Source organism: Homo sapiens, chromosome 2 (assembly GCF_000001405.40).
Source record: "Homo sapiens chromosome 2, GRCh38.p14 Primary Assembly".
Classification (NCBI taxonomy): Eukaryota; Metazoa; Chordata; class Mammalia; order Primates; family Hominidae; genus Homo; species Homo sapiens.
Genome location: NC_000002.12, coordinates 170,395,762 through 170,423,118, shown reverse-complemented (window position 1 = coordinate 170,423,118; position 27,357 = coordinate 170,395,762). Strand labels below are relative to the sequence as shown.

General features: G+C 42.1%; 1 protein-coding gene across 11 annotated transcripts in view; it reads right to left on the bottom strand.

Annotated features, from left to right (window-relative positions):
• MYO3B (myosin IIIB) overlaps positions 1–27,357 on the bottom strand; it is a 477,021-nt gene that overhangs the window by 232,049 nt on the left and 217,615 nt on the right. For all 11 annotated transcript variants that reach the window (NR_045682.2, NR_045683.2, NR_045684.2 and 8 more), the window contains 6 exons: positions 22,805–22,931; positions 21,428–21,638; positions 20,124–20,271; positions 18,719–18,872; positions 17,486–17,574; positions 15,275–15,404 (listed from right to left, as the gene is read on the bottom strand). Coding sequence is in view for 8 of the 11 variants with exons in the window: in NM_138995.5 (NP_620482.3) it covers positions 15,275–15,404; positions 17,486–17,574; positions 18,719–18,872; positions 20,124–20,271; positions 21,428–21,638; positions 22,805–22,931 (859 nt within the window). In the remaining 3 variants the exon portion in view is untranslated. The remainder of the gene's footprint in view (positions 1–15,274; positions 15,405–17,485; positions 17,575–18,718; positions 18,873–20,123; positions 20,272–21,427; positions 21,639–22,804; positions 22,932–27,357) is intronic.

The window sequence follows — 27,357 nt, the reverse complement described above, 5'->3', positions numbered from 1 at the left end:
TCTCAGCTACTTGGGAGGCTGAGGCAGGAGAATCACTTGAACCTGGGGGGCGGAGGTTGCAGTGAGCTGAGATCATGCCATTGCATTCCAGCCTTGGCAACAGGAGTGAAACTCTGTCTCAAAAAAAAAAAAAAAAAAAAAGAAAGAAAGAAATATGGTTGGTCTAAATAGAAATGTGCCATAGATATAAAATGCACATCAGATTTTGAAGACTTAGTACAAAAAAAGTAAACTATTTCAATAACTTTTATATTGGTTACATGTTGAATAATACTTTTGATATATGAAGATCTATTATTGAAATTAATTTCAATGACTTGTTATTTATTACTTTTAAAATGTGGCTAATTAAAAAAATGTGGCTGCTGGGTATGGTGGCTCATACCTGTAATCCCAGCACTTTGGGGGGCCAAGGCGGGTGGATCACCTGAGGTCAGTTTGAGACCAGCCTGGCCAACATGGTGAAACCCCACCTCTACTAATAATACAAAAATCAGCTGGGCAAGGTGGTGCAAGCCTGTAATCCTGGCCACTTGGGAGGCAGAGGCAGGAGAATCGCTTGAACCTGTGAGGCAGAGGCTGCAGTGAGCCGAGATCGAGCCACTGCACTCCAGCCTGGGCAACAGAGAGAGACTCCATCTCAAAAAAAAAAAAAAGTGGCTAATAGAACATTTTACATTTCATTGTATAGCACTGTCCCATAAGGTTTTCTAAAGAGAGCCAAGTAAACACTTCCAAACCAGAGTAAATCAGGCAGGTGCAGTGGCTCATGCCTGTGATCTCAACTACTTGGGGGGCTGAGGCAGGGGGACTGCTTGAGCCCAGGAGTTCCAGGCTGCAGTGAGCTATGATGATACCACTGTACTCCAGCCTTGGCAACAGAGTGAGACCCCATTTCCTTAAACAACAACAACAACAACAACAAAGCAACTCAAGACTGAACATCTGGTCTAGAGATATTAGGGGTTGGTCTGTTCAATTTTAAGGTCCCATCTAATCTGGAGGCTCTTCTTAATGCACACCCCTCAATTTGCAGATGTGGAAGCTGCTCAGAACTTTAAATCAAATCTGCCAGATGCAAAGTACCAGTTCAGGTAGCTCTTAGCTTATCTCCTGACTTACAGTTCAGAGTTCTTCATTCCACCATAGCTGAGAGGGTAGGAGAAACTGCATGGAGAATTTTAAAAATGAAAGAAACACTTAAGCCACCTATACTTAAACAAAAAACAAGACAGCACTTGCAGAGTACAAATTAAAACCTAAAAACATTCAGGGATGGGGGAAAAAGGCAACAAGAGTTTCAAGGGATGCTCTTTTCACCCCACAGCCACATCATACACGTATTTTCCCCTCAATAAGCTTTACAAAGAAAATCAGATTCTTCTAAACAAGGGCTGAAAACCATTAACAGGGGAAGAGCCAGGAAGGTGTGAAGTTCCTCCTGGGGCTGTCCAGATGAGGCCAAGACAAGGGCAGAAGAGGGCACGGCCCTCACAACATCTCACAGATAAAGCTTCTGGTCCTCCCAGCAGGCTGTGGCAGTAAGGTGGGACTCACCCTCACATGCGGTCCAGTCAGGGTGGCTGGAGAGGGCTGGGTGGCACCCCGGGGCAGCCACGTTCCAAGAGGGAAGTTGTAATGTGAAGGGAGTACGTGGTTCTCGTGCTTAAAGATCTGTACTTTAGCCACAAGTGTACTGTTTGCTTCTGGGAAAGCCCCACTCCGCCCAATCCAAGAAGGGGGCCAGCAATTGATTTCAGATGCCAGAAGTAACTGCAATTACATCTGCACTCCTCTGGTGCAAGAGTCCTAATAAGGGCTTCATACTCATCTCTCTACATTCAGAATATGAAGTTCTGAATGGAGCGCCTTCTGAATTTCACAACTTATTAAAATAGATCTGATTCTGGTGGGCTTCCTGCCAGCACCATAAATCACAGGATGACCCACATTTATGATGTGCTTTCAAAGTGTTCCCAGCACTACCAGGAAACCGTCCACAAATCGCACTCTCTATCTGGACAGAAAGACTCTCTGAGCACCTCCTGTCACACTCCTCTCTAGACGATGGAAAGAGGTGCCAACCAAATGGACAAAAATCCCTGTCCTAATGGAATTTACATTCTAGTGGTACCAGGAATTTTACCCAACCCAGACTAGAAACTCCCTGGAAGAGGTGATGCTAGGACTGAGTTTTGAACACAAAAATGTTGGGGAGGCAGAGGAAGGGCAGGGTTGGGAGGTGTGGTGATGAGGGGTGTCGGTGGGGAGCAGAAGTAATTCTAAAAAGCAGAATTAGCATGGGGCTGTGAAGTAATGTGACCAGTACTGACTACATGTTTGGTATATAAATGAAACAGGAGACCCAGTTTCTGGTCTCATGGCACTTATGATCTTTTCAGTCAGACAAGATGGTCACATGAGACAGGACTGTGCAGCTGGCTAGACCAATGTGCTGAATTGCACAGCTCCAGCTGCAGACTGATGAAGATGAGGAGCCCATGTAATTAACATTTGCTAGTTCCATTATTCATAAGGGACTCTCTGTATCATTGCCCTTTCCCTGAGACAAGAATCTGTCACCCACTCCAGGCTGGTGCTGGAAGAAATCCCCAGCTAGTGACAGAACCTGCCAGCCTACCAGGATCAGGTCTGCAAAAGCTCTGTGGTTCTCTGCTTGTGCCTTAGGCATGAAATCAGCATACTGAGACATCTCAGTTCTCTGTGGGTAATCCAGAAACAATTTCACTTTTCCCTCTAACTTCCCTCACCCATGTGGACTCAGCTTTCTATGAAGATGGCAGCTCCTTAACCGTAGCATAGTCCCATTTCATAGATTTTTCAGTTATTAAATATTATTATGGTTTTGATAATTCATTCTTGTTTTGTTTGTTTCTGTTTTTTGTTTTGTTTGTTTGTTTGTTTGTTTTTTGAGACTGTCTCCCTCTTGTAGCCCAGGCTGGAATGCAGTGGTGCGATCTTGGCTCACTGCCACCTCCGCATCCCGGGTCCTGTTCAAACAATTCTCCTACCTCAGCCTCGCGAGTAGCTGGGACTACAGGCATGCATCACCACACCCAGTTAATTTTTGTATTTTTAGTAGAGATGGGGTTTCACCATGTTGGCCAGGATGGTCTTGAACTCCTGACCTCGTGATCCACCTGTCTCGGCCTCCCAAAGTGCTGGGATGACAGGCGTGAGCCACCACACCCGGCTTCATTCTTGTTTGTTTTTAACCTTTAATGTTACATCAATTCGCAGCTTTTTCCCCACTTTCCTTCTGCCCCCAGGCTGGATGTATGGCTTTCACGGGCTTGGAGGGTTCTTCTCTCCGCTCACCTTCTCTAGGCTAGCTCCCTAGGTGTGGCGGAGGGAGTGGGGATGAGAGGGGCAGAGCTCTCCTTCTCTGACTGGGGATGCTGCAGAGCCGCTCTAGGTGGCCACAGTAGTCCTTGGGCTTTATAAAGAAAGGTGGTAGTCCCCACATGCCCCACAATTAAGGAGCTCACACTTAACAGCTACCCAAGCTCTTAGTGATCTGTTACCAGCTGAGTTGTTTCTTCTCCATAATTCCCATGTTGGAGCCCTAATAACCCCCACTACTTCAGAATGTGACTGTATTTGGAGATAGGGTTTTTAAAGAGGTGACAGTAAATTAAGATGTGGCTGTAAGAGTGGGTCCTAATCCATTATGACTGGTGTCCTTATTAGTAAGCCATGGAGAGAGGCCTCACAAGAAACCAAACCTGCTGACAACTTGATCTCCAACTTCTATCCTCCAGAACTGTGAGAAGCAAATGCCTATTGTTTAAACCGCTCAGTCTGTGTTAATTTGTTCTGGCAGCCCTAGATAAAATAAAGAGTTTCCTAGACCTCTTTATTTGTGAAAAGTACGTCCTGATCCTCGGAGGCTGACAGGTTCTAGCACTAGCTGGGGATTTGCTCCAGCACCATATCAAACTAATATATGATCCCTTGCCAGACTGGCTACATCTTTTAACTGACCTTGAGCTCAACTCTCACAGTACATTCATCTAATGTGTGCATCTTTTTGCCTTGTGCTGATTCCCAGTGAGACAGTAGCACTTGATTTCTTCTATGTCCTCAGACAATGGTGGGGCTGTAGGCTCACAAAGGATCCCTCCATTTTTGTGAAGAACTGAAAACTCAAAATGGGACAGTTCCCCACTATGACATCTCTTGCTCTCTAGTTACCTTTTCCCCTACAAAGGGAAAGGTTATATATTTTGCTAGCTAAGCAAGTATCCAATTAGGGGATGAGATTGTAAGCATCTTTTTTTTTTTTTTAAAGTAATTGCCTCCAAATTTCATGAGTGATTCTTTTGAGAACTGCCTCCTTCCCCCAGTTTGGGGGAGGAAAAGCATACTCTCCCTTTGCCCCCAGGTGGCCCAGGGCCAGGGGATGGAGGTAACAACTCTTAGACCTTTCCTGAACTTAGAATGTGAGGTGCAGGGACTTCTGTTCTCATCATGGGCCTTATTTCCAGGAAAACAGGTCTGGACCGAGCACCACACTCCACCCTGTTGTAAACATTGGCTGTTATTAAGAGCTCCTGTATTTTTCAGTTAGGTGCTAGAGCTTTTATGAAGACCTAGGGATGCACTTTTCACAAACAAAGAGGTCTACAAACTCTTTTCCAGGGAAATCACACTTCTCCAGATTCCAGCTTAAAATTCTAGTTTTGCAAAGAGAAAATTTAGTAGCGATGATATTAATACAATAATGCCTCTGCTAATAAAAAGATGCATTTTAACTCAGCTTAGTTATGTAGAAGACAAACCAACAATGCTTTATTGTCAGACTCAGAAATAACACAGGAAGGCAAGGGGAGTATGGAGAGCATGGGCCCGCCTCTGCCCTGCAAGCCAGACACACAGGCCCCTCAGCCATGGAAACCAGGGCTCCCTAGCTCTTTTGGCCCAAATGAGAGCAATCTCAACTCACTAGGGACAATATGCTGGCAATGACATGAAGGTCAAACTAGGACGTGACCTCACTGAAGCCTCCTGCACACCCACTGGACTGGGTGATTTAAACTCAGGAATCTGGTCCCATCCTTACCCAGGCCTAGGGCTTGGCAGCCCCACTCCCTCCTCCTTGGTGATGCCTCAGTACCTTAAGCTCTCCCAATCCCCCATTCCCTCCCACTCAGAAAGATCCTATTATACATTGAATTGTGTAATTGTGTCCCTAAAAAATTCATATGTTGGAGTCCTAGCCCTTAAGTACCTCAGAATGTGACCTTATTTGGATATAGGGCCTTCGTAGATTTAATAAGTTTAGATGAGGTCATACTGGAGTAGGGTGGATCCTTAATCCATTTTGATGATGTCCTTATAAAAAGGGGAAACTTAAACACAGACATGGAGGGAGAACACCTTGTGAAGGTGAAGGCAGACAGAGGGTTGGTGCAGAAACAAGGAACACCAACGATTGCCAGAAAACCACTGGGAGCCAGGAGAGAGGCCTGGAACAAACGCTCCCTCAGAGCCTCCAGAAGGAACCAACCCTGACTTCACCTGAATCTTGAACTTGTAGCCTCCAGAACAAGGACAATACATTTCTGTTGTTTGTGGTGTTCTGACATGGTAGCCCTATTATACTAATACAGAGCCTTAGATTGGGAGTCCAGACTTGGCCTTCAACTTTAGTTTCTATCTTGCAGTAGTTAACTGAGTTATTTAACAAATATTTATTGAATACTTTCTATGCACTGGGCACTGCTCTGGGTCAAGGATATACAGTAGCAAACAGGACCAATAAGGGCTCTATCTTCAAGTTGTTTACAGGCTAGCATGGAGTGGGGGCAGGGATAGAGATAGATGTATGTTGGCTCTTGAAGGAGACAGTTAAACAGATGATGTGATAGAATGAGTGGGGAAGAGAGGGGCTACTTTCCATTGGGTAGACAGAGAAGACCTCTCTTTGGAGGTGACATTTGAGCTTAAATTCTGGGTCAGAAGAAAGAGATGGACCCATAAAGATCTGGAAAAGCCTATAATCCCAACACTTTGGGAGGCCGAGGCAGGCAGATCACGAGGTCAGGAGATTGAGATGCTGGCTAACGCAGTGAAACCCCGTCTCTACTAAAAATACAAAAAAAATTAGTCGGGTGTGGTGGCCCATGTCTGCAGACCCAGCTACTCGGGAGGCTGAGGCAGGAGAATTGCTTGAACCCGGGAGGCAGAGGTTGCAGTGAGCCGAGATCGCGGCACTGCACTCTCCAGCCCGGGCAACAGAGCGAGACTCCGTCTCAAAAAAAAAAAAAAAAAAAAAAACAACAGAAAAAAAGATCTGGGGAAAGAGTGTTCCAGGCAGAGTGAGCAGCTGGAGCAGAGTCAGGAAAAGGCTTGGAATACCTAAGGAACAAAACAAAAACAGAGTAAATGAAAGACTTCAAGGAAGTGAGGACAGAGATACAGGCAGGGACAGATCACATAGGATTTTGTGTGTACAAAAAAAAAAAAAAAAAAGGAGTTTGGATTTTATTCTAGGTGTGATGAGGATCCAGTGGAAACTTTAAACAGAGGAATGACATGATCTAGTTGGTATCTTTTTTTTTTTTTTTTTTTTTGAGACGGAGTCTCGCTCTGTTGCCCAGGCTGGAGTGCAACGGCACAATCTTAGCTCACTGCAACCTCCACTCTGAGGTTCAAGTGATTCTCCTACCTCAGCCTCCCAAGTAGCTGGGATTGCAGGCGTGCACCACCACGCCTGGCTAATTTTTTGTATTTTTAGTAGAGACGGGGTTTCACCATGTTGGCCAGGCTGGTCTTGAACTCCTGACCTCAAGTGATCCACCTGCCTCGGCCTCCCAAAGTGCTGGGATTACAGGTGTAAGCCACTGCATCCGGTCTAGTTTGTATCTTTTAAGATGGCTGTTGGGCTGTATGAGGCAGGTGGAGAAGCAGAGTTGAGTTAGCAGGTTCAGGTGAGCGATGCTGCAGATGCATCACCATGAACTCTGCTTTCATCTTCACAGGGTGTTCTCCTGGTGCGTGTCTCTGTGTTCAGATTTCCCCTTTTTATAAGAACATCATTTATATTGGATTAGGGGCTCACCCTAAGGACATGATTTTAAGTGGACTATCTCTGCAAATACCCTAATTCCAAATAAGGTCACATTCTGAGGTACTGGGGCTTAGGATTTCAATGTATCTTTTTTTGGAGGGAACACAATTCAACCCATAAGAAATAATTGAAAAGATGAAAGAGACTATGTTGATAAGAACAACCACATCAAGAGGAATAAACAGATATGCAGAAGACATGAGAAATACCTACAGGATCAAAATCTTTGTGGAGGTAAGAGAGGAAGGGATGCTGCGTACAAGTAGAGAGCATCTTACCTGTAAGAAGAGCAGGGATGGTTCAGAAGCCCTTAGACCAGAAGGAAGACAGATACATTGGTCATGTGGTATCTTTGTGAAAAAAATATATAGAAGGAAGATAGAGCAAACAGGAACAATGCGGGTGGATGCGTCGATTTGGCTCATCTATCTATTCATTTATTGAGCAACAATATATTGAATGCTTACTATATGCCAGATATATTTTAAGGCTTTGAGGACACAGTAATGGACAAATGAGATAAAAATTCCCTACCTTCTTGGAGCTTACATTATAGTGAAGAAAGACAGACAATAAACATGATACATAAGTAAAATGTATGTAGTATGTAAGGTGATAGTAAGTGCTAAGAAGAAAAATAAAACAGGAATGTGGATATAAAATGTTGAATAGGTTGAAATTTTAGATAGGATAGCCAGAAAAGGTAGGTTTAGAGAAAAGATCTGAATGAAGAGAAGTTAGCCATGGGTATGTCTTAGGAAAGAAAAAAAAGTTCCAGATATAGGGAACAGTAAGTGCAAAGGCACCTACATAAAACCCACAGCTAACATCATACTTAATGTTTAAAGACAGAAGGTTTTCACCTCAGGATCGGGAACAAAGCAATATGTCTCCTCTCACCACTTTTATCCAATATCATACTGGAAGTCCTAGCCAGTATAATAAGGCAAGAAAAAGAAATAAAAAGCATTAAGATTGGAAAGGAAGAAACAAAAGAGTTCTCATTCACAGACAACATGATTATCTATACAGAAAATCCCAAGGAATCTACAAAAACAAAAACAAGAAGACTTCTAGGACTAGTAAGTTTAGCAAGGTTGTGAGTGACAAAGTCAGTACACAAAAGTCATCTGTATTTCTACATATTAGCAATGAATAACTAAAATCAAAATAAAAAACCCATTTATACTAGTTCTATAAACTGAAATACTTCATTATACATCTAATAAAACATGTACAGGATCTGCATGCTGAAAACAACAAAATATTGATTAAATAAATCAAAGAAGATCCAAATAAATAGACATATCATGTTCATGGAATGGAATATTCAACATAGCAAGGTTGCTAATTCTTCCTAAATTCATCTGTAGATTTAATGCCATTCTAGTCAAAATCCCAGCAGGACTTTTTATAGATATAGACAAGCTGCATTTAAAATTTATATGGAAAGACAAAGGAGCTAGAACAGCCAAAACCATTTTGAAAAAGAAGAATAAAGTTGAAGGAATCATACTACCTGATTTTAAGATTTCCTACAGCCAGGCGTTGTGGCTCATGCCTATAATCCCCACACTTTGGGAGGCTGAGGTGGGTGGATCATGAGGTCAGGAGTTCGAGACCAGCCTGGCCAACACAGTGAAATCCCATCTCTACTAAAAATGCAAAAAATTAGCCAGGCGTGGTAGTGGGGGCCTGTAATTCCAGCTACTCAAGAGGCTGAGGCAGGAGAATTGCTTGAACCTGGGAGATGGATGTTTCAGTGAGCTGAGATCGCGCCATTGCACTCCAGCCTGGGTGACAAGAGTGAAACTCCATCTCAAGAAAAAGACTTACTATGAATCTGCAATAGTGTGGTATTGGTGAAGAGGGAGATAGTTTGATCAATGAAACAGAACCACATAAATAATAACCAATTGATTTTTGACAATGGTGCAAAAGCAATTCAATGGAGAAAGGATAGTTATTTTATTTATTTATTTTTTTGAGATGGAGTCTCGCTCTGTCACCCAGGCTTGAGTGTAGTGGCGTGATCTCGGCTCACTGCAACCTCCGCCTCCCAGGTTCATGCGATTCTCCTGCCTCAGCCTCCCAAGTAGCTGGGACTACAGGCGCCCACCACCACACCTGGCTAATTTTTTTGTATTTTTAGTAGAGTCAGGGTTTCACTATGTTAGCTAGGATGGTCTTGATCTCCTGACCTCGTGATCCACCCGCCTCGGCCTCCCAAAGTGCTGGGATTACAGGCATGAGCCACCGCACCCGGCCTAAGGATAGTTATTTCAACAAATGGTTTTGGAACAACTAGGCATAGTTATGAAGAAAAAAACCAAAACATCTTAACCTTACATTTTATACAGAAATTTACTCAAACTGGATCCTAAATCTAAATCTAGAATGTGAAAGTATTAACTGAGCACCTATTCATACACAGATATACACACAACACCGTGGGTGCACCCTGGCTCTCACTAGTCAGTCTCTAACACCCTTGTTCAAGTTTTCCTTTCTCACCCTAAAGCTGTGCTCTTCAAGAGCACAGCCCCACCACTCACGGCAGTTCAGATCAGCATCACGAGCCATCCTCTGCTCAGCAGCCTGCCATCATTTCTTCCTCCTCACAACCTCCCTCTGCCCAAAGAGGTCTTTCCTCCTTGTCCTATTCATTTAATCATCTAACTTCCACTCCCTTCTCCTTTCCAGTGCTGTAGGCCCTGGCTTAGAATGCCTCATTACTCCCAGACTGTCCAATTTTCTCTAGTCTCTACTAAAAACAAACAAACAGACACCACTCCAATAAGCCTTTCTTAGTTAAAAGAAGTCTTTCCTCATGTTTACCCATGACATTTCCCTGACATTTCCTTCTATTTTTATTTGTATGGATATAGTTGTTATATTGCTTCACTTATGGATTTGCATGCCTGTTCAGAATGTAGATTTTTTGTTCATCTTTTATACATTTTGGGATTTGGCACTATTGATCTCTGGCCATTCTAGCTGGGACTTTGTTGTGTTACTTCTAGAAATAACCTATACATAGCACCATATCTAGACAGATTCTCAATACATAATTATCTATTGACTGAGATACACTTCCCAAATTAAATAGAAAGAAGTGGGTCTCTTTGTAAGGAGGAACTCACTCCCCAGGCCTCCCTGATGGGGCTGGCTCATCAGAGCCTCCATTTCAGGAAGAGCCAGCACTATCCATGTCTGTGGCCCTGAAATTTTGTCAATTAGATTCAGCTCATCTGCTAGACCCTTTTGCTAAACTATCAGGATAGACCAACAGCCATAAGTGGAAAATGGAAACTGAGAGATGGATACCAAAAGGCGCTCTCTTAAGAGCTTAATTCATTTTGGGCATTACAGAATCAGGACTCGGAAAACTGACTGCAAGGATTTCAGCAGTGAAGGTGTTATAGTGCTTTACAGATATGACAATGTAGGGGCTCATCTTGTCTCCCCCATCCAAAAAAAGAGGAGCAAATAGAAGTCAATAAACAGATACTTTATTGTTGATTTTCACTGCAAATCAAATCCCATGGAAGAGACCTGAGTCTTCAGACAGAAGAAGGCAATGAGGGTAAAACTCAGTTCTAGGTTCTGAAGCAAAAATCAAACTTTGAGGTTCAGAGAATGTTCCCTCTGGTGCTATTCTTATTTTTCCTAGTTTCTCCCAAGTTCATAACTTCTTTAACACCCCAAACTACTATTTGGAAGTCAGAATTCATGATTCAAAGACAAAAATGAATTTTCAAGTTCTTTTTGAAACTCTGTTTCTTTCTTCCCCTGAGCCTTTTAAGCTTTTCTCTCAGTTTACTAGTTGCAAGTGGAACATTACCCAAACAGGAAAATATGCCTTGAAACCATGTTATAACATCCTTCCTTTTAATGTTTTTCTATCTAGATCATTCAGTTTGAAAAGTCTCAGCCGAAGGGTTAGAAAGCAGTGTTGCTGCTACTTCAAATTTTCACACCTAAAATCTTCAGAGGATTTCCTATCAATAGGAAGTATTACAAAGAACATTTCATCATGTCTGAAGTGGCCCATCTGCAGGCAAAAGGCTGGCTGCATAAGCATGAGAAGAGAACAGAGAGAATTCATATTGACTGTGGCTGCCTCCTTTTACCACAAGGTCACTGAGAACCTTGCAGTGAGAGTGTGCCTCTCAGGCACAGGCAGCTCCACAGCCAGATGCAGCCAGGTGTAAGCAGAAGGGGGCTGCAGAAACCTGGGAGGAGCCCTGTCTCCTGGTGACCTTGGGCCTCCTTATTCTACTCCTCATGCTTTTTAATCTCTTCAATAGTCTGGAAAGTGGGAGCTGGAAACAAGAAAATACCAACTGGATTACTCTCTATGATTTTATATTATGATTGCACATATACACACCGAGGTTGATCCTCTCAACCTTGATAAGAAATTAAATCAAGCCCCAGTAGTGTCATGCGCCATGTACATTTTGGTCAACAATGGACTGCATATAAACTGGTGGTCCTGTAACATTATCATACCATAGTTGTACTGTACCTTTTCTATGTTTAGATATGTTTAGATACACAAATACTTGGCATTGTCTTACAATTAACTACAACATTCAGTATAGTAACATACTGTACAGGTTTACAGCCCGAGAACAGTAGACTACAACATATAGCCTAGATGTATAGTAGATTATATCATTTAGGTTTGTGTAAGAACTCTATGATGTTTGTACAACGATGAAATCAACTAACGATGCATTTCTCAGAATGCATCCCCATCATTAAGCTATGCATGACTATACTTTTTTTGATATATACTAATGAAGGGAATGTTACCTGCCCAGCAACCCAGAGAGGAGGTAACTTGAAAGAACAGGAAAGTGATCCTGGGGCTGTTTTGAAAGCAAAGGACAGTGGCAATCTAGCTACCAGAAAACCTCAAGTTAACTGTCAGGAATCCTTCGATAAAGAAATTAAAGTTTTTCTTTGCATTTAAACAATTTTAATTCTAATTTTTTTTCAGAGATGGGGGGTGTCACTGTGTTGCCCAGACCGGCCTTGAACTCCTGGGCTCAAGTGATTCTCCTGCCTCAGCCTCCTGAGTAGCTGGGACTCTAGCCATGCGCTACCACATCAAGCTTTTTTTTTCTCTTTGTATTTTAAGGGGTCTTCTCTATCTTTTGGAGAAAAAAACCCAACATTACTATGACACAGAATGCACACACAAAAAAGTATGCAAAACATAAATGTACAGCATAATAAATATAATGCAAGCATACATGTAACCACCACCAAGATCAGGAGCCAGACCACTGCCAACATCTCTTAGGGGTCTTCCTAACAAACGTCTTCTCCTCTTTCAAAATTGAGGAGTCCAGCACTGGACCTCCTTTTATGCTTTGAGCTAATTGCCTCTAAGGTTTCCCAAGTTTTTTTTTTTTTTTTTTTCTTTTTTTTTGTTGAGACGGAGTCTTGCACTGTTCCCAGGCTGGAGTGCAATGGCATGGTCTTGGCTCACCGCAACCTCCACCTCCTGGGTTCAAGCAATTCTCCTGCTCCAGACTCCCTAGTAGCTGGGATTACAGGTGCCCGCCACCACACCCGGCTAATTTTTTGTATTTTTAGTAGAGACGGGGTTTCACTATGTTGGCCAGGCTGGTCTCGAACTCCTGACCTCGTGATCCACCCACCTTGTGATCCGCCTGCCTCGGCCTCCCAAAGTGCTGGGATTACAGGCGTGAGCCACCGCGCCTGGCCTCAACTTTGATCTTTTTCCTTCCTCCCTGTAGTTCATTCCTCAAAAGAGGTTTGTAAAGTAATTGACCATAATATATATGCTTACTGAACTAGTGCTCCATTTAATTTCGATAAAACAATTAAAGCAAGGAAAAATAAAAGTGACAAGAAAATGGTTTCTTATGCATTGAAAATATTAGCATATTCTTTTCCAAAGTGCCAGGATAGTGTGGGATCTTGCTTCTAGTGGGAACATCAAGATGTATAGGCACCTTCCCCTTCACGAGAGGGACATGCCTGAAACAAGCATTGGCAAAGAACAGCATAACTTATTTCTGTCCAGTGAGGTTTCCCATCTTCAAAGGCTGTAACATAATAACCCCCAAAAATATAGACTATGAACGTTTTAAAATTTAGAAAAGTAATATTCTGACATTCAACACAGGATGCACAATCATGTTAGAATCGAGGTTTGAGGGCAACTATTGTCATAAGGAGATAAATTAGTGCCCAATTCTGTATAGAAAATTCCATATAGAAAATGAAGTTAAAAGAAAGTTCTAGTTGGTGTACGGCAAAGCCGTATTACCTTTACTCCTATATTTCCCTCGTTGCCTAAAAAGTACCTTATTACTAGAAGCTGTTCTTTAAATGTTTGTTGATTGAATTCATTCCTACATAAATAATTCCAGAAAAAGAAAACACAATCATGCTTATAAGTTTTGATGTTTGTGGCTTCTTAACTATACTCAAAATGTGGAGAATCCTAAGCTATACTCAAGCTTAGGATCTCAAAGGAAATTACTATGCATAATATATAGCTCAGGAATACTGGGAAGCCTATTGGTACATCACGTTTGTGTCTAGTCTTATTTTTCACTTTTGTTTCTATCAAGTGGTGTGGAGTGTAGTTTCAAAACAAGATTCAGAAACAAGAGGAAAGCTCTTTGGGAGGGGTAAAAAAGACGCAGCGGCGGAGGTTATCTCTTTGTTCCTGTTCCTCCCGCAGTTGGGTGAATCAAGGGAGAACAGAGACCGGCTGCAGGGCCTTACTTTCTGCATAGCGCCCCCTAGTGGTCCAGGCTGTTAAATGGTTTTTATTTTGCCAAAGGTTGAAAAATCGGAAATTCCGAAGTTGTGAACAGATTTGACAAGTCGTTATTAATATTTGTGGGAGGATGTAAATGCCAGCTGAAGAGTTATTTGGATAGATTTTTTTCCCAGAGAGCATGTCCCCTATCAATAATGGCTGTCTCTTCACCTCTGTGCTGAAGTCGCCTGATGAGGAGTCTACATCCCTGGGTCTCTGGTAAGGAAACACCAGATAGCCCTTTCCACACCTGCCCCGAGCTCCTGGGATTCCATATTGAATTAAACCCCGGCTGCTCCAAGGAAGGTCTGGAATGGAAGCTGGAGGGCAGCCTTCTGATGGGCACTGCTACTAGTTCTGTTTACAGGAGCATGTCTGAAAAAAGAGCCGGATTTCAACTTTCCTTCCAAGTTAAGATGAAGCAAAGGCTGTAGACTGTGGCTTTTTTTTTTTTCTTAGCCAGGCTTTTCATTCCTCTGCAAGCTGCTAAAAATCAGACCTGGCAGCCAGTTAAGAGGGATGTGGGAAGAAAAGAAGAGGAAATAGTGAACAATGAACAGTGATAAAAAGGTTTCTCTTCCTCTTTTTCTTAAAAGCATGCCCACTGCTATTTCCAGACCTAGCCTAAAAAACACAAAGCCCTTGAGAGTAGAGCTGTGAGAAGGCTGAGTTGGCCGCCCAGCTAAAAGCAGCAGAATCCCAGGTACATTCTAAAAGGTTGACTCAATTAGAATCCATTTGGAAAAACAGTTAAGACCTGGAAGTTCTGTTCTTTGGCCCTAGTTTCCTGCTTTTTTGGCATGAGGACTGACAGCAATTAAACAGAAGGTAACTGTAAGTAGGCAAAGGCCACATACATAGGTGATGGACCTGTTCCAAATTGGTTAGGAGAGAGGTAGGGTGGGGTCATAACTGGGTAGAAATTGGACCAAGGTGATCTTTGAGGATCCCCTGAACTCTGATTCAACACACTCCTTTAACTTGGAATGACACACAAGTAGAAATAATCTTCCTGATAAGTTTTGGTAAACTGAGACTATCCTAGATTGCTTAGCATGAATTAATGATATCGTATGGCTTTATAAAGGGAAGAATGAAAAGAAGGACAAGAAAGTCTAAGAGTTGATGTTATGGATAGTGTATGTATGTTTATGTGTGCAGCTACACGTGTCTGTGTACACACGGATGCTGCACAATTCAATTACAAAAGAAACAAACATTTTCCTTTTCTTGAATTTAGACCCTTACTCCTGCTTAAAGAAGTTCAATGTTAGCGGTGCAGCCCTGGCAGTATTCAGACACTAACTGGAAAATTTCACCTGGTCTTGCAAAAGCTTTAAGAGCAGGGCTATCAGAGGGTTCCCAAGTACCTGTTTTGGTCAGAGGGATTGAGAAGAGCTGCTGAAGAAGCTTGTTTTCTGACGTTCTCAGGACCACAACCACATCGGCAGGGAGAGTGTCTCTATTTTTCTCAAGAACCCCAGAAGCATCATATAATACCTGTAACATGAATAGCAAACGGCAAATTAGCCAAGTCAACTGTCCGTCATTGGTGACACTGGCAACTTGCCTAACCAGTTGTTAATCAACCTCTATATAGAACTCATCTTTACATAGCTTTCATATCCAGAGCACCAGATAAAGGGAATAATTATGATGTTGACAGACCAGTTTATCTTAACTTATTGTCTAGTTGCTTTGGTTTTTGTTTTTTATGGGTTTTCTTTTGTTGTTGTTTTGTTTTTTTCTTTCTTGAGATGGAGTCTTACTCTGTCACCCAGGCCGGAGTGCAGTGGCATGATCTTGGCTCACTGCAACCTCCGCCTCCCGGGTTCAAGTGATTCTCCTGCCTCAGCCTCCCGAGTAGCTGGGACCACAGGTACATGTCACCACGCCCAGATAATTTTTTGTATTTTTAGCAGAGATGGGGTTTCACTGTGTTAGCCAGGATGGTCTTGATCTCCTGACCTCGTGATCCACCCGCCTCGGCCTCCCAAAGTGCTGGGATTACAGGTGTTAGCCACCGCACCTGGCCTGTCTAGTTGCTTTTTGAAGACTACTATCAAAGATAAATCACATCAGAATAATTATTAAAATATATTAGATACCATGTGCAAAGCATCCATCCTATGAGGTAAACACTATTATTATCTCCATTTTACTGGTAGGCAGGCAGAGACTTAGGAAGAGGCTGAGTAATGTGCCCACGGTCACACATTTCACAAGTGGTAGGTAGGTATCAAAACTCAGGCAGTTTGACTCTATGCTCACAACCACTTTAAGTACTCTCACTGCCTCCCTAGGTCCTCATGAGATCTGAGTGATCACTCAAGGATGCTGAGTAGTTCTTGGTTCTCAGAACAGAGGGGATCCAGTTCAGATAAATTTTAAGGAACACCCTCAGAGAATTCCTTCTCTACAAATAAGCTTTGAATGGCAAATGGATGCAGCAAAGGACACAGAGGCCAGAAAAAATAAAAATAAAAAAAGTTTTTCCCCTAAAATCAAGAAAGGAAAATAGTAAGAGTCAAGAAGACGGGTGGGTAGGACATAGTTATAAAAGGACAGAGAGGTGAGAAGAGGAGGACAGGAATGGGAGGCAGAAAAGAGGAATGGGGAGGGGAATCAGGGTAGATGCTGGTATTTCAGACTCTGAGGAGGACCTTAATATGCTAAGGTAAATAAAATATTTAAGGGCAAAAACTGAATTGCAATGTCTAACAAAGATCCAAAATAGATACCATAAAGTACTATGTGGAGAGAAAAATAATCCCCTTCCCTTGTACTAGAATTTCCCAACATCCAGTTAGGAAAATCAGTTCCAATGCCATGATGTGAATATGAATGACAATTTCAATACATCTGAAATTAATAAAATAATCAAAAATGTCTTTTATTGAACTCCTACCAATTTTCTGGACCTACAGCCTCAGCAGAGCCCAGAGGAACCAATCAGCCATAATTCAAATGGCTCCTTTGGGAGTAACATAAGCAAGGAACTTGTGGTTATGGGATAGGGAATTTCCTGAATCAGTCACTAATCTGCTTCAGGAACTTGAAATTGAGACTGAGGCATAATGTATGAAAAGTGGACATTTCAGTTAAGTTGTAAAAGCTTAACATCTGGATAATAATGTGAATTTTTTTTTCTTTTCATCTGGACATTTTGGGGCCCTTAGACATATGATTAAAGTACTAAAAATTGAGTCCCACTGTGATATTAACCTTCCTGCATTACCTACATGTCTCCAAATGACTTTAGAATGTGAACATTTACTGCTAAACACCGCAAAAAGCTGTAATGTGTTTTCTCTCTGGAGAGCTGTCAGTTCTAGGCCAAACCTCAGGTGAGAAGCAGATGGCAACACTGTGGGCCACCCCAGTGAGAAATTGCTTCTATGCCAGGGGCAACTTTCTGTGAGTGGCACCACTGAGAAACTTTAAGAATTATGATTAGGTATTCAGGAAGAATTAAAATGGGAAAGAAATCTGTAAGCAATTTCATGAGCAGCACAGACAGGGTAATACAGACACTTACCCTTTGCCAAATTCAGGTCTAATAACTGTCACACTGGCCTCACCTTTCCAGCATAATGCTGAATGCCAAAGCACAGTTCCACTCCTTTGGGCCTCCAGAAGTATTTGCATCGTAGATTATCTTCAAATTTATCTGTGTGGATTTTTATGTTGGAGAGTTACAATGTGAATTATTTCCTCTTTCAAACAAAAACTTGTTCCTCAAGCCATGAATGACTCAGAATAAGGGCTTTCAGAATAAGGCCTTGATATTAACAAGGGTGGAGAAAGATCACCGATATGATGGGCATTTATCATTATATCCTTGCTTAGTTGTGTAGCATTGTCTTAATGTCAGGCTGTGCTCTAAGATCGTATATTCTCCTGCTGTTTCTAAGAACTCCTAGCATGGACACTGATGACACCAGAGGCCCTGCCAGTTAGTTTTAGAACCTGGTTTAAACTCATCTGGACAACTTGTGACAATGTTATATATAAAAGAAAACCACTGAGGGTTATAATTTCAACTCATAAAAGTGAATCTCTGCCACAAATCAATTTTCCAGCTGGGGAAAAGGCTTGAAACTTTTTGTTCCTCCTTTAACACACGATCTTTGCTATTGTGGTTGAAAGCTTACTAAGTATGAGAAACTGCTAAGCACTAAAGGCACATAAAGACTGAGGCTTCATTGCCCCAAGCACCTCGCAATCTAAGTGAGGAACAAAGGTTGTGAAAAACACTGAAGATTCAAGAATAGGGTACAGAATAGAGGGCCTTTGATGTCAGGACGAGGTGCCCTATATTCATCCTGTAGATAATAGTAACCTAATGAGAAGGTGGCTTTAGAAAGACTAAACTAGCTGGGATGTCCAGGGTAGATGGGGCAGGTAGGAGCCTGGAAGTCAGGAGACTGGAAAGGGCTTCTGCATGAAATCAGATTAGAGGTGGATGGGGGTACAGGGGAAGACATGAGATGGGGGCACACAAAGGAGGAGAAGCAAACATTGCCTATAGGAAAGAAGAGAGAGGAAGGTGTAAAAATGAAATCAACATGGGGGTAATGCTAATCATGTTGGCAAGAATAGGAAAGTGGGAAGGTGTTAGGAATAGCGATGGGTTTGCTTTAACATTCAAATTCTACCACAACACTTCAATTCAATGAAAAAGAAGGCCTATATTCTTACAAACCACCATATAAACAAAATATGTAAGGTAAATTCATTAAAGTACACTCAATTGATGACACAAGCCAAGTTTTGTTCTAAATGTATATGCCTGTTTCTCAGAAGTTACCTACCAACCAGGGTCTGGTCAGTTGCTTGGGGAAACCGACTTTCCTCATCCAAAAGTGCAAGCAGTCCCAGGGGTTTCTGGAGGAACATGTCCAAGAGCGGGCGGTTGTCCTCATATTCCACGGGTACAGCATCAATGCCTTCATTCTGATATTCCATCTGGAGGGAAATGGATTGTGATTCTCTCCAGCCCAAAACTAGCCTTGGGACCACCAGGATACTTTGACATGGACTTTCTGGGTCTAGCAACATTGAATGCATGTGGAAAGCAGGATATGTTTTATGTGTATAATAAAGGAATCTTCTGCATATAACACCATTAAAGCTGTGCACTTAAATCTGACTTACAAGTGGCCTATGGCAGCAGCTAAACCAGTAAAACATCTCTCTCAAATGTGGACTTGGTAACTTATCATTTAGAAACTAATGTACAAGGAAGTGAAGCTGAAAAAAAAAATTTATTTTGGTGAGAAATATTGTTTAAACCAAGAAAACAGACTTCTCTTCTGCAAGGAGTTCGACAAAGGAATCATCTAGGGTTGGAAAACTAGAAAAACTCCAGATTACCGGGAAATAAATGGAAGGAACCTGGACTGAAACAAGAGTGGATGGGAGAGGAGTGCTATACAGATTTATCCAGCTCCAGAGATAAAAGCAATGCTGGTATTTTCACTAAATGTCTTTGTGTCTATCTCATCGAAGTTGAGTTTGTGCGTCCTCATGCCTGCATTAAAACAATTATCCCTGCATCGAAGAGGCTTAGCCAGAATGTTTCATTATTGCAACTACTTCATACAGAAGAGAGTCTTAAGGTTTAAGTAAAGGTTGGGGTTGATCAGACTGCTATATAGGCTGCTGCCACAGGAAAAGAGCCCCATCCCTTGGGTCCACTAGTTTCTTACTCTGTCTTATTTATTATTAAACTCATAGAGGGATGATTTCCATTTCTAGAAAACCAAGAACACATCTTACTCTTCCCTGGAGATACCTCTCCAGTGACTGTGGGATCTGGTATATAGCAGATAGGGGATAGGGAGGGCTAGTGTAGCAGTTAAGAACCTATGTCCCGAATTCAAGGTCATCTGTGTCATTTTGAACGCAATCATAAATATTTTTAGTTAAATAAAGTAGAAGAGATACAGTATTTTGAGCAATATGCACGAAAGAGTTTTGACACAAAATTTAAATGAGTGACTTGTCACCAGCTCCACTCAAGTGAGGAAATGTACCTTTCCACAGAAATCGAGACCTTTTCCAGACAAATTTAGACTATTTAGCCAGGACTGCCTTACCCTATTTTCTCTCTAGGGTCTTTTAGTTGTTAGTCTACAGGGTTTCTGCTACAAATTGTGGGCAGCTTGGAGACACCTTTTCCCCATCAAGTTTAGTTACCTCAGAGTTCACTATTACCTGCTCAAGAGCAAAAACATGCTGATTGAAATAGTACTGGATTTGCTCATTGGCGATGTTTATGCAGAGCTGCTCAAATGAATTTCTCTGAAAATTCTCGAATCCAAAGATATCCAAGATCCCCACATTCATTCCACCTCCTGCACTACTGCATGAGAGAGAAGAACAAAACTCTTTAGGGGAGGAAACACCCACCTAAAGAGGATGAGAATATATGTGCCCAAGTGCTTATCAGCTCAAGTACCCAATTCACCCACTCATGGAAAGCAGCATCCTGCCACCCCTAAGAAAAGAAGCAGTTTATGTCTCAAACTATTTGTTCTTTTGGCCTTTCAATAGTATTTTCAACTTCTTTTTTTTTTCAAGCAGTAGAATCCTTTAAAATCTTACTCAGAAACTCCATGTATAAAATAAAATTTTTAAAGTCCTTTTGTTTGAAGGGGTTGCAGCTGTTGCTTATTTATTCTCCCACCTATCTACCCACAAGGATAACTGGAAGAGTACTCTTCAGAATTTGATGTGGTGAATTCCTCCACAATATAGGAAACCACTACGCCTAGGAAAGAGCAAGGAAAAGTAGTTGAAGAAGTAGGAATAGTAATGTAAGATAGTGTGCTTTAAATTTTTTCATAAAATGTCTCTTTGATTCTAAAAACAAAACTATGAAGAGGATATTATTATCCTCATTTTACAGGTGAGAAAACTGACTTAGAACATGCAGCTGATTAAAACCCATTTATGCTTGGTGTTCCATTATTGGAACACAAAGCATATGGGAGTTAGTTATTCACATCCTACTGCTCAAGGTCATCGCCAAGGTCTGATGAAAAAATTCAAAAAATTGCAACCTCAGGCATAAATGGGTTAAGCTGTAGAGTTTGGGTGCGAACCCAGTTTGTCCAGCTCCCAGCCAAGACTATTCTCTCAAATACTACACTTAGTGGCTCCTTCAGTCCTTTGCCTCTCGGGTACAAATGCTTCAACTGTCCTGGATCTCACTGTGTCTTCTAAAAGAGAATGCCTAAATTAGCCGGGCGTGGTGGCACGCGCCTGTAATCCCAGCTACTCAAGAGGCGGAGGCAGTTGAATCACTTGAACCCTGGAGTTGGAGGTTGCAGTGAGCGGAGATCGTGCCACTGCACTCCGGCCTGGGCAACAGCGTGAGACTCTGACTCCACAAAAAAAAAAAAAAAGAAAAAGAAAGAAAATCCCAGAGAGGACCAAATGCTTCCTTTTGCAAACTCTAAGAGACGGCGGGGTCAATGACAGCTCTCCTGAGACCCTCTGCTCTCCGAGGAACTTGCCATATGTTTTCGTCTGGCTGCAGGAGTGTATTAATGCGATTCACAATCCAGCTGAAGAGCCTCCCATACAGGGCTTTGGACATGGCGTCTCGAACGTCCGCAGCCCTGTCTACAGTGTTGGCACGGATGATGGTCTCGCCCCGGGTGACCACACAGTGGGAGGTGAGGGCCTCCTGGAGCTCTTCAGGGCTAATGCACAGAACAGAGGCAGCTGAAACAAAGAGTAAGGATAACACAGAATGTAGCCAGACCTTCATTCAGTCAGTCTGTTCAGCATTTATTCAACATCTACTATGTGCCAGACTCCATTTGGGTACTTTTGACTCAAAGATAAACAGGCTAGATCCCTAACCCCAAGAAGCTTCCAGACTGACACAGTATCTCCCAAACTGTTCTGAAAGCTCTTACTTCATAGATGCTTGATGAAAAAAAAGGAAGAGGAGGTGGTCTTTTGCCAAATAAATTGGGGAAATAGGTGCAGACTGTATTCTACCCTTAGTCACAAAATACATTCATATATTAAAGGCCCTAAAATGTCCTACAGTTTTAACACAAAAAGGTTTTTACTTCATTTAAATCAGTTTGTTTGTTTGTTGTTCATATTTGAGGATTCTCACTCTTTGTGCCACCATAATTACCCGTGGAACTTTAAAAATAAATAGGCGCCTGCTTTCTCTCCTGTATATGCTGATTTAGTGGATTCAGAATGGGCCCAACCTCCTGTATCTTTTTCAGTTTGTAGATGATTTTTTTAAAACAGCCAAGGTTAAAAACCACTGCCCGCAGTGAGCCGAGATAGCGCCACTGCACTCCAGTCTGGGAGACAGAGCGAGACTCCGCCTCGAAAAAAAAAAGAAAAAAACACTGCTCAAAATTACCTGCCATAGAATTCTTTTCTGCAGAATACTTGCAGCTTATGGAAGGAACACTGGTGTTCCACAGGACATCCTTGGGGAAATACTAGTTCATGAAAACATCCAGAGCCATTAGAAAGACCAGCAGGCTGGGTGAATCCCAACACTTTGGGAGGCCGAGGGGGGGGGGGTGGATCATGAGGTCAGGAGTTCAAGACCAGCCTGGCCAAGATGGTGAAACCCCGTCTCTACTAAAAATACAAAAATTAGCCAGGCGTGGTGGCAGGCGCCTGTAATCCAAGCTACTCTGGAGGCTGAGGCAAAGAACTGCTTGAACCTGGGAGGCAGAGGTTGCAGTGAGCGGAGATTGCACCACTGGACTCCAGCCTGGATGACAGAGTGAGACTCCATCTCGATAAAAAAAAAAAAAAAAAAGGACCAGCAAATGCTGCATTATATTTTACAGAGCCTAAAGAAGCACGTGCTTTGGCAACAACACAGCCCACAAATATCAAATAATTACCATTTTGCAAAGCTTCAGCATTGGGCACCTCACTTTTATCAGTCTGATGTTGAGAGGAAATAGCTGCGAACTCAATGTTCCCAATATTCAAAATCCCAGCCAAAATTCTGTACACTGAGTGCACCTCCTGAAAAGGACATCAAGAACCATATATGAAGGTCATTGCCAGTCAAACTAATGAACCATTAGACCTGTAGTGGAAACTACTAGTTGTCTACCAAAGTCCATTCTCCCTCTTTTCCTGGACACACAGCAAAATTTCCCAAACTTCTTTGCAGTTAGAGGTCGTCATATAACTACATTTTAACAATGAAGCAAGCAGAATGACGTGGGTCACTTCTGGGCCCAGGCCTTACCGGCATGAGCATGCCTCCTCCACACTTTCCTTCTCATTATTGCCGGCTGGAACTCCCAGCACAGCCTTACCATGCCACTGATGAGGATGCCTTAGACCAACAATTGCATAAACGGAGTTGCTCTGCAACCTGAACCTCTTATCTGGAAATGGTTATTAAGAGATAACTAATCTTCTTTGTTCTTTAAGCCACTTTCAGCCTTTTACCCTAACTAATACCAGCTCCCAAATTCAGGTATGATCTTTTGTTCAAAGCAAGAGAGGAGCTGTTTCCTTAACCTCTTTTGAATATCGCTTTTATGAAGTAGTTGGGAAGACATTCATTCATGGCTCCTAGAACATTTTAAAGTTAAATGATGGAATATATAGTTATGAAGTCAGGAAATATTTTGAAAGACTCACTAGAAATTATCTGTGATAATTGTATATTAAATTATATTTTTATATAACAAGAAATATATATAATTAACCTTTTTTTTTTTTTTTGAGATAGAGTCTTGCTCTGTCACCCTGGCTGGAGTACAGTGGCACAATCTCGGCTCACTGCAACCTCTGCCTCCCGGGTTCAAGCAATTCTCCTGCCTCAGCCTTCCAAGTAGCTGGGATTACAGACATGCACTGCCACACTCAGCTCTTTTTGGTATTTTTTAGTAGAGACGGAGTTTTGCCCTGTTGGCCAGACTGGTCTCTCTCTTTTTTTTTTTTTTTTTTTTTTTTGAGACGGAATTTCGCTCTTGTTGCCCAGGCTGGAGTGCAATGGCGCGATCTCGGCTCACTGCAACCTCTGCCTCCCAGGTTCAAGCAATTCTCCTGCCTCAGCCTCCCGATTAGCTGAGATTACAGACATGCACTACCACGCCCGGCCAATTTTGTATTTTTAGTAGAGATGGGGTTTCTCCATGTTGAGGCTGGTCTCAAACTCCTGACCTCAGGTGATCTGCCCACCTCAGCCTCCCAAAGTGCTGGGATTCCAGGCGTGAGCCACCACTCCTGACCAACAACTGACTTTTAAACAACACAGGTTGGAACTGCACATGTCCTCCTATACATAGATATTTTTCAACCAAACACGGATCAAAAATACAGTATTCACAAGATGTGAAACCCACATATACAGAGGGCTGACTTTTCATGTCCTGACTGCAGGACTCGAGTATGCTTGGATTTTGGTATATGAATTGGGGGTTCCCGGAACTAATCCCTCACATATACGGAGGGACTATTATATTTGTTCTTTGCTCCCAGTTCCTGGCACAAAAGCATCTAAAACCCTTGAAAGTGAGTGATAGGAATGCTAGGAGTCTTTCGTTATTTACAACAAGCCCCTTTCAACCATACCTGAGTTTATACTAAGCAAGTGACTCTTGGTGGACCTCTAGATAGCTTTAGGATGGAGAGCTGGTTGCCAGAGGAACCAATCATGTGATTAGAGAGTTCGAACTTTTGGGTCCTCCTCAACCCAATCTCTGGGGAGCAGAGAGGGATTAGACATTGAGTTAATCACTAATGGTCAATGATTAACCAATCATGTGAATATAATGGAACCTCCGTAAAAACCCCTAAATGATGAGATTCGGAGAGCTTTCAGGTTGGTGAACACATGGGTGCTGGGAGAGTGGTGTGCTCAGAGGGAATGGAAGCTCTATGTTACTTCCCACATACTTTGCCATATGCATTTTTTCCATTTGACTATTCTTGAGTTGTATCCTTTTTTTTTTTTTTTTTTTTTTTCTTTTGAGACAGAGTTTTGCTCTTGTTGCCCAGGCTGGAGTGCAATGGCGTGATCATGGATCACTAAAACCTCCGCCACCCAGGTTCAAGTGATTCTCCTGCCTCAGCCTCCTGAGTAGCTAGGATTACAGGCACCTGCCACCATGCCCAGCTAAATTTTTGTATTTTTAGTAGAGATGGCATTTCACCATGTTGGTCAGGCTGGTCTTGAACTCCTGACCTCAGGTGATCCACCCGCCTCGGACTCCCAAAGTGCTGGGATTACAGCCATGAGCCACCACGCCCAGCAGAGTTGTATCCTATATAATAAAACAGTAATGGTAAGTAAAGTGTTTTCCTGAGTTCTAGAAACTATTCTAGCAAATTATCCAACCTGAGGAGGGAATTGTGGGGACTCTCAATTTATAGCCAGTCAGTCAGAAGTATAGGAGACAGAAGTATAGGTATCTGGAGTCAGAGTAGTCTTGTGGGACTGAGCCCTTAGCTTGTGGGATCTGATGCTAACTCCAGGTGGAGAGGGTCAGAATTGAGTGAATTGTAGGACACCCAGCTGGTGCCAGATAATTTGCAGGTATGGGGGAGAAAAACCCACATATTTGGTGTCAGAAATGTGAGTAAAAACGGTTCCGATTATCTAAGCTCTATTTTTATATTGAAAGTTGAATACATATGTATCATTAATGGTAAAAAGAAATTAAGGTGTATTTACTTATTTAAAAACTTACATTTTCTATACGTGAAACAACGAAATATATAGCCAGGAAAATTTTGCATTTTATGCTTATAGACAGAGAAAAGTACTTTCACAAAAATACTCAGGCAGGTAACTTGATTTGGTACTCTACACAGCAGCAAAGGAATAGGAACGGTCACTGGACCATTGATAAAGCATTGCCTCACAGATTACAACTTCCTATAAACATTACTCAGTAAAGCCAAAAAAAGGAACACAGACTATAATAGTGACATCTGCTGGATACCTGATAATGCTACAAAGACAAATGAAGATTTTAAACGAGGCTTCTACAATGGATAAATGTTATTCTTCCAACTTCTAAATCAAAGGCAATATGTCATTTTTTTTTACTTTAAGAATCATTGTTTAATCACCCAACTTAAGAGTGGCTAAGGAGAACACCTACTAAGTAGGTTTTCTGGGACTTGCTCGGATTTAACATGACAGCACCTCGTTACTTTGATCAATACAGTGTGAGGCTTGCTCACTACACTGAGCAACTCCCACAGAGGCAGATCCCAGGGGGTAAAACAGAGACTCTTGCAGTGAGTTCTACATCAGCTGTTTCTATATCGAGGTTATCTGAAACTCTCAGTACTCTTAGAAAAAATAAATGTATTTCCTGTAATTAAAACACACATCACACAAAGACTCTCTCTCTCTCTCTTTCTTCATGTATTACAGTACAAGCTCTGAAACCTCCCAAAATAAGACTTCCAGCATTTCACCACTGGGATAATCACCATAGAAAATGACTGTCAAAGACTATACCCTTGAAACCAGCATCTTGCCCCGTTGCTTCTCTGGCACTACCCTCTTCAGCATAGTGCCTAGACAACCATTTAAAGTGAAAAACTATCTATGACCCTGAGAAAAACTTTTAGGTTCAAACACTGTGTGAATCACTGAAATTAATGACCGATTGGGTCTCCTTCCTTGATTTAGTGAGAACTAACAGCGGGGTAACCAATGCTCACCTTATTAAGGAGTTTATATTTCTGGGCTATTCCATCCACTTGACTCCATCAGTCCTAACCTTGGGTTAATTAGTTCTCCCTTTCTGATCTAGGAGCCTCTGCTTTCAGGTCAAAACATCAGTTACACTCATGGCAAAATTCAATTAGTTATATGTCCACCTGAGGGATTACTCTTCCTGCCTTAAAACTTTTCAATCAAATTTTTCTTATTGTCTCCCCAACAGACAGCCAGGGAAGGTTTTTTCACCTTCTTTACCTTGTCCATTTTCTCTTGCTTCATCTCCAGCTACAGAGCCTTTCCTGGCATCTCTGCCTTTTCTGCAGAATCTTGCTACGCTGCTGTCTCTTTTTATTTCTACCAGTTTTCAGCTTTCTATATTATAAAGTGGAATAGCTTTACTCAAGAAGACCAAGTCCTCCAACTGGGTTTCTCAATTTATTGTTGATGGGTATAAACTGTTTCACTACCAATCAACAACAGTGGGGAAGAAAGAGCATTTCTCCATCAAAGCCCCACTGCAGGATGTCTGATATTTTCTTCTCTTTTCTCATAAGACACTTCTTTTGATGTAGTATTCTCTTGATAGAGTTGAGGCTAATTGAAAAGTAGAGAGAAAACTTAGTTTTCTCTGTTAGCCTGGCGCTACTCTAAGAAAATCCCCCTTGGCCTGGCTCACAGGCATCTCCGGTAGTTGTTTCTCTGGTATATCCCTAGGAATTTACTTCCGTTCCCAGTCTCTCTTTCCTTTCTTTC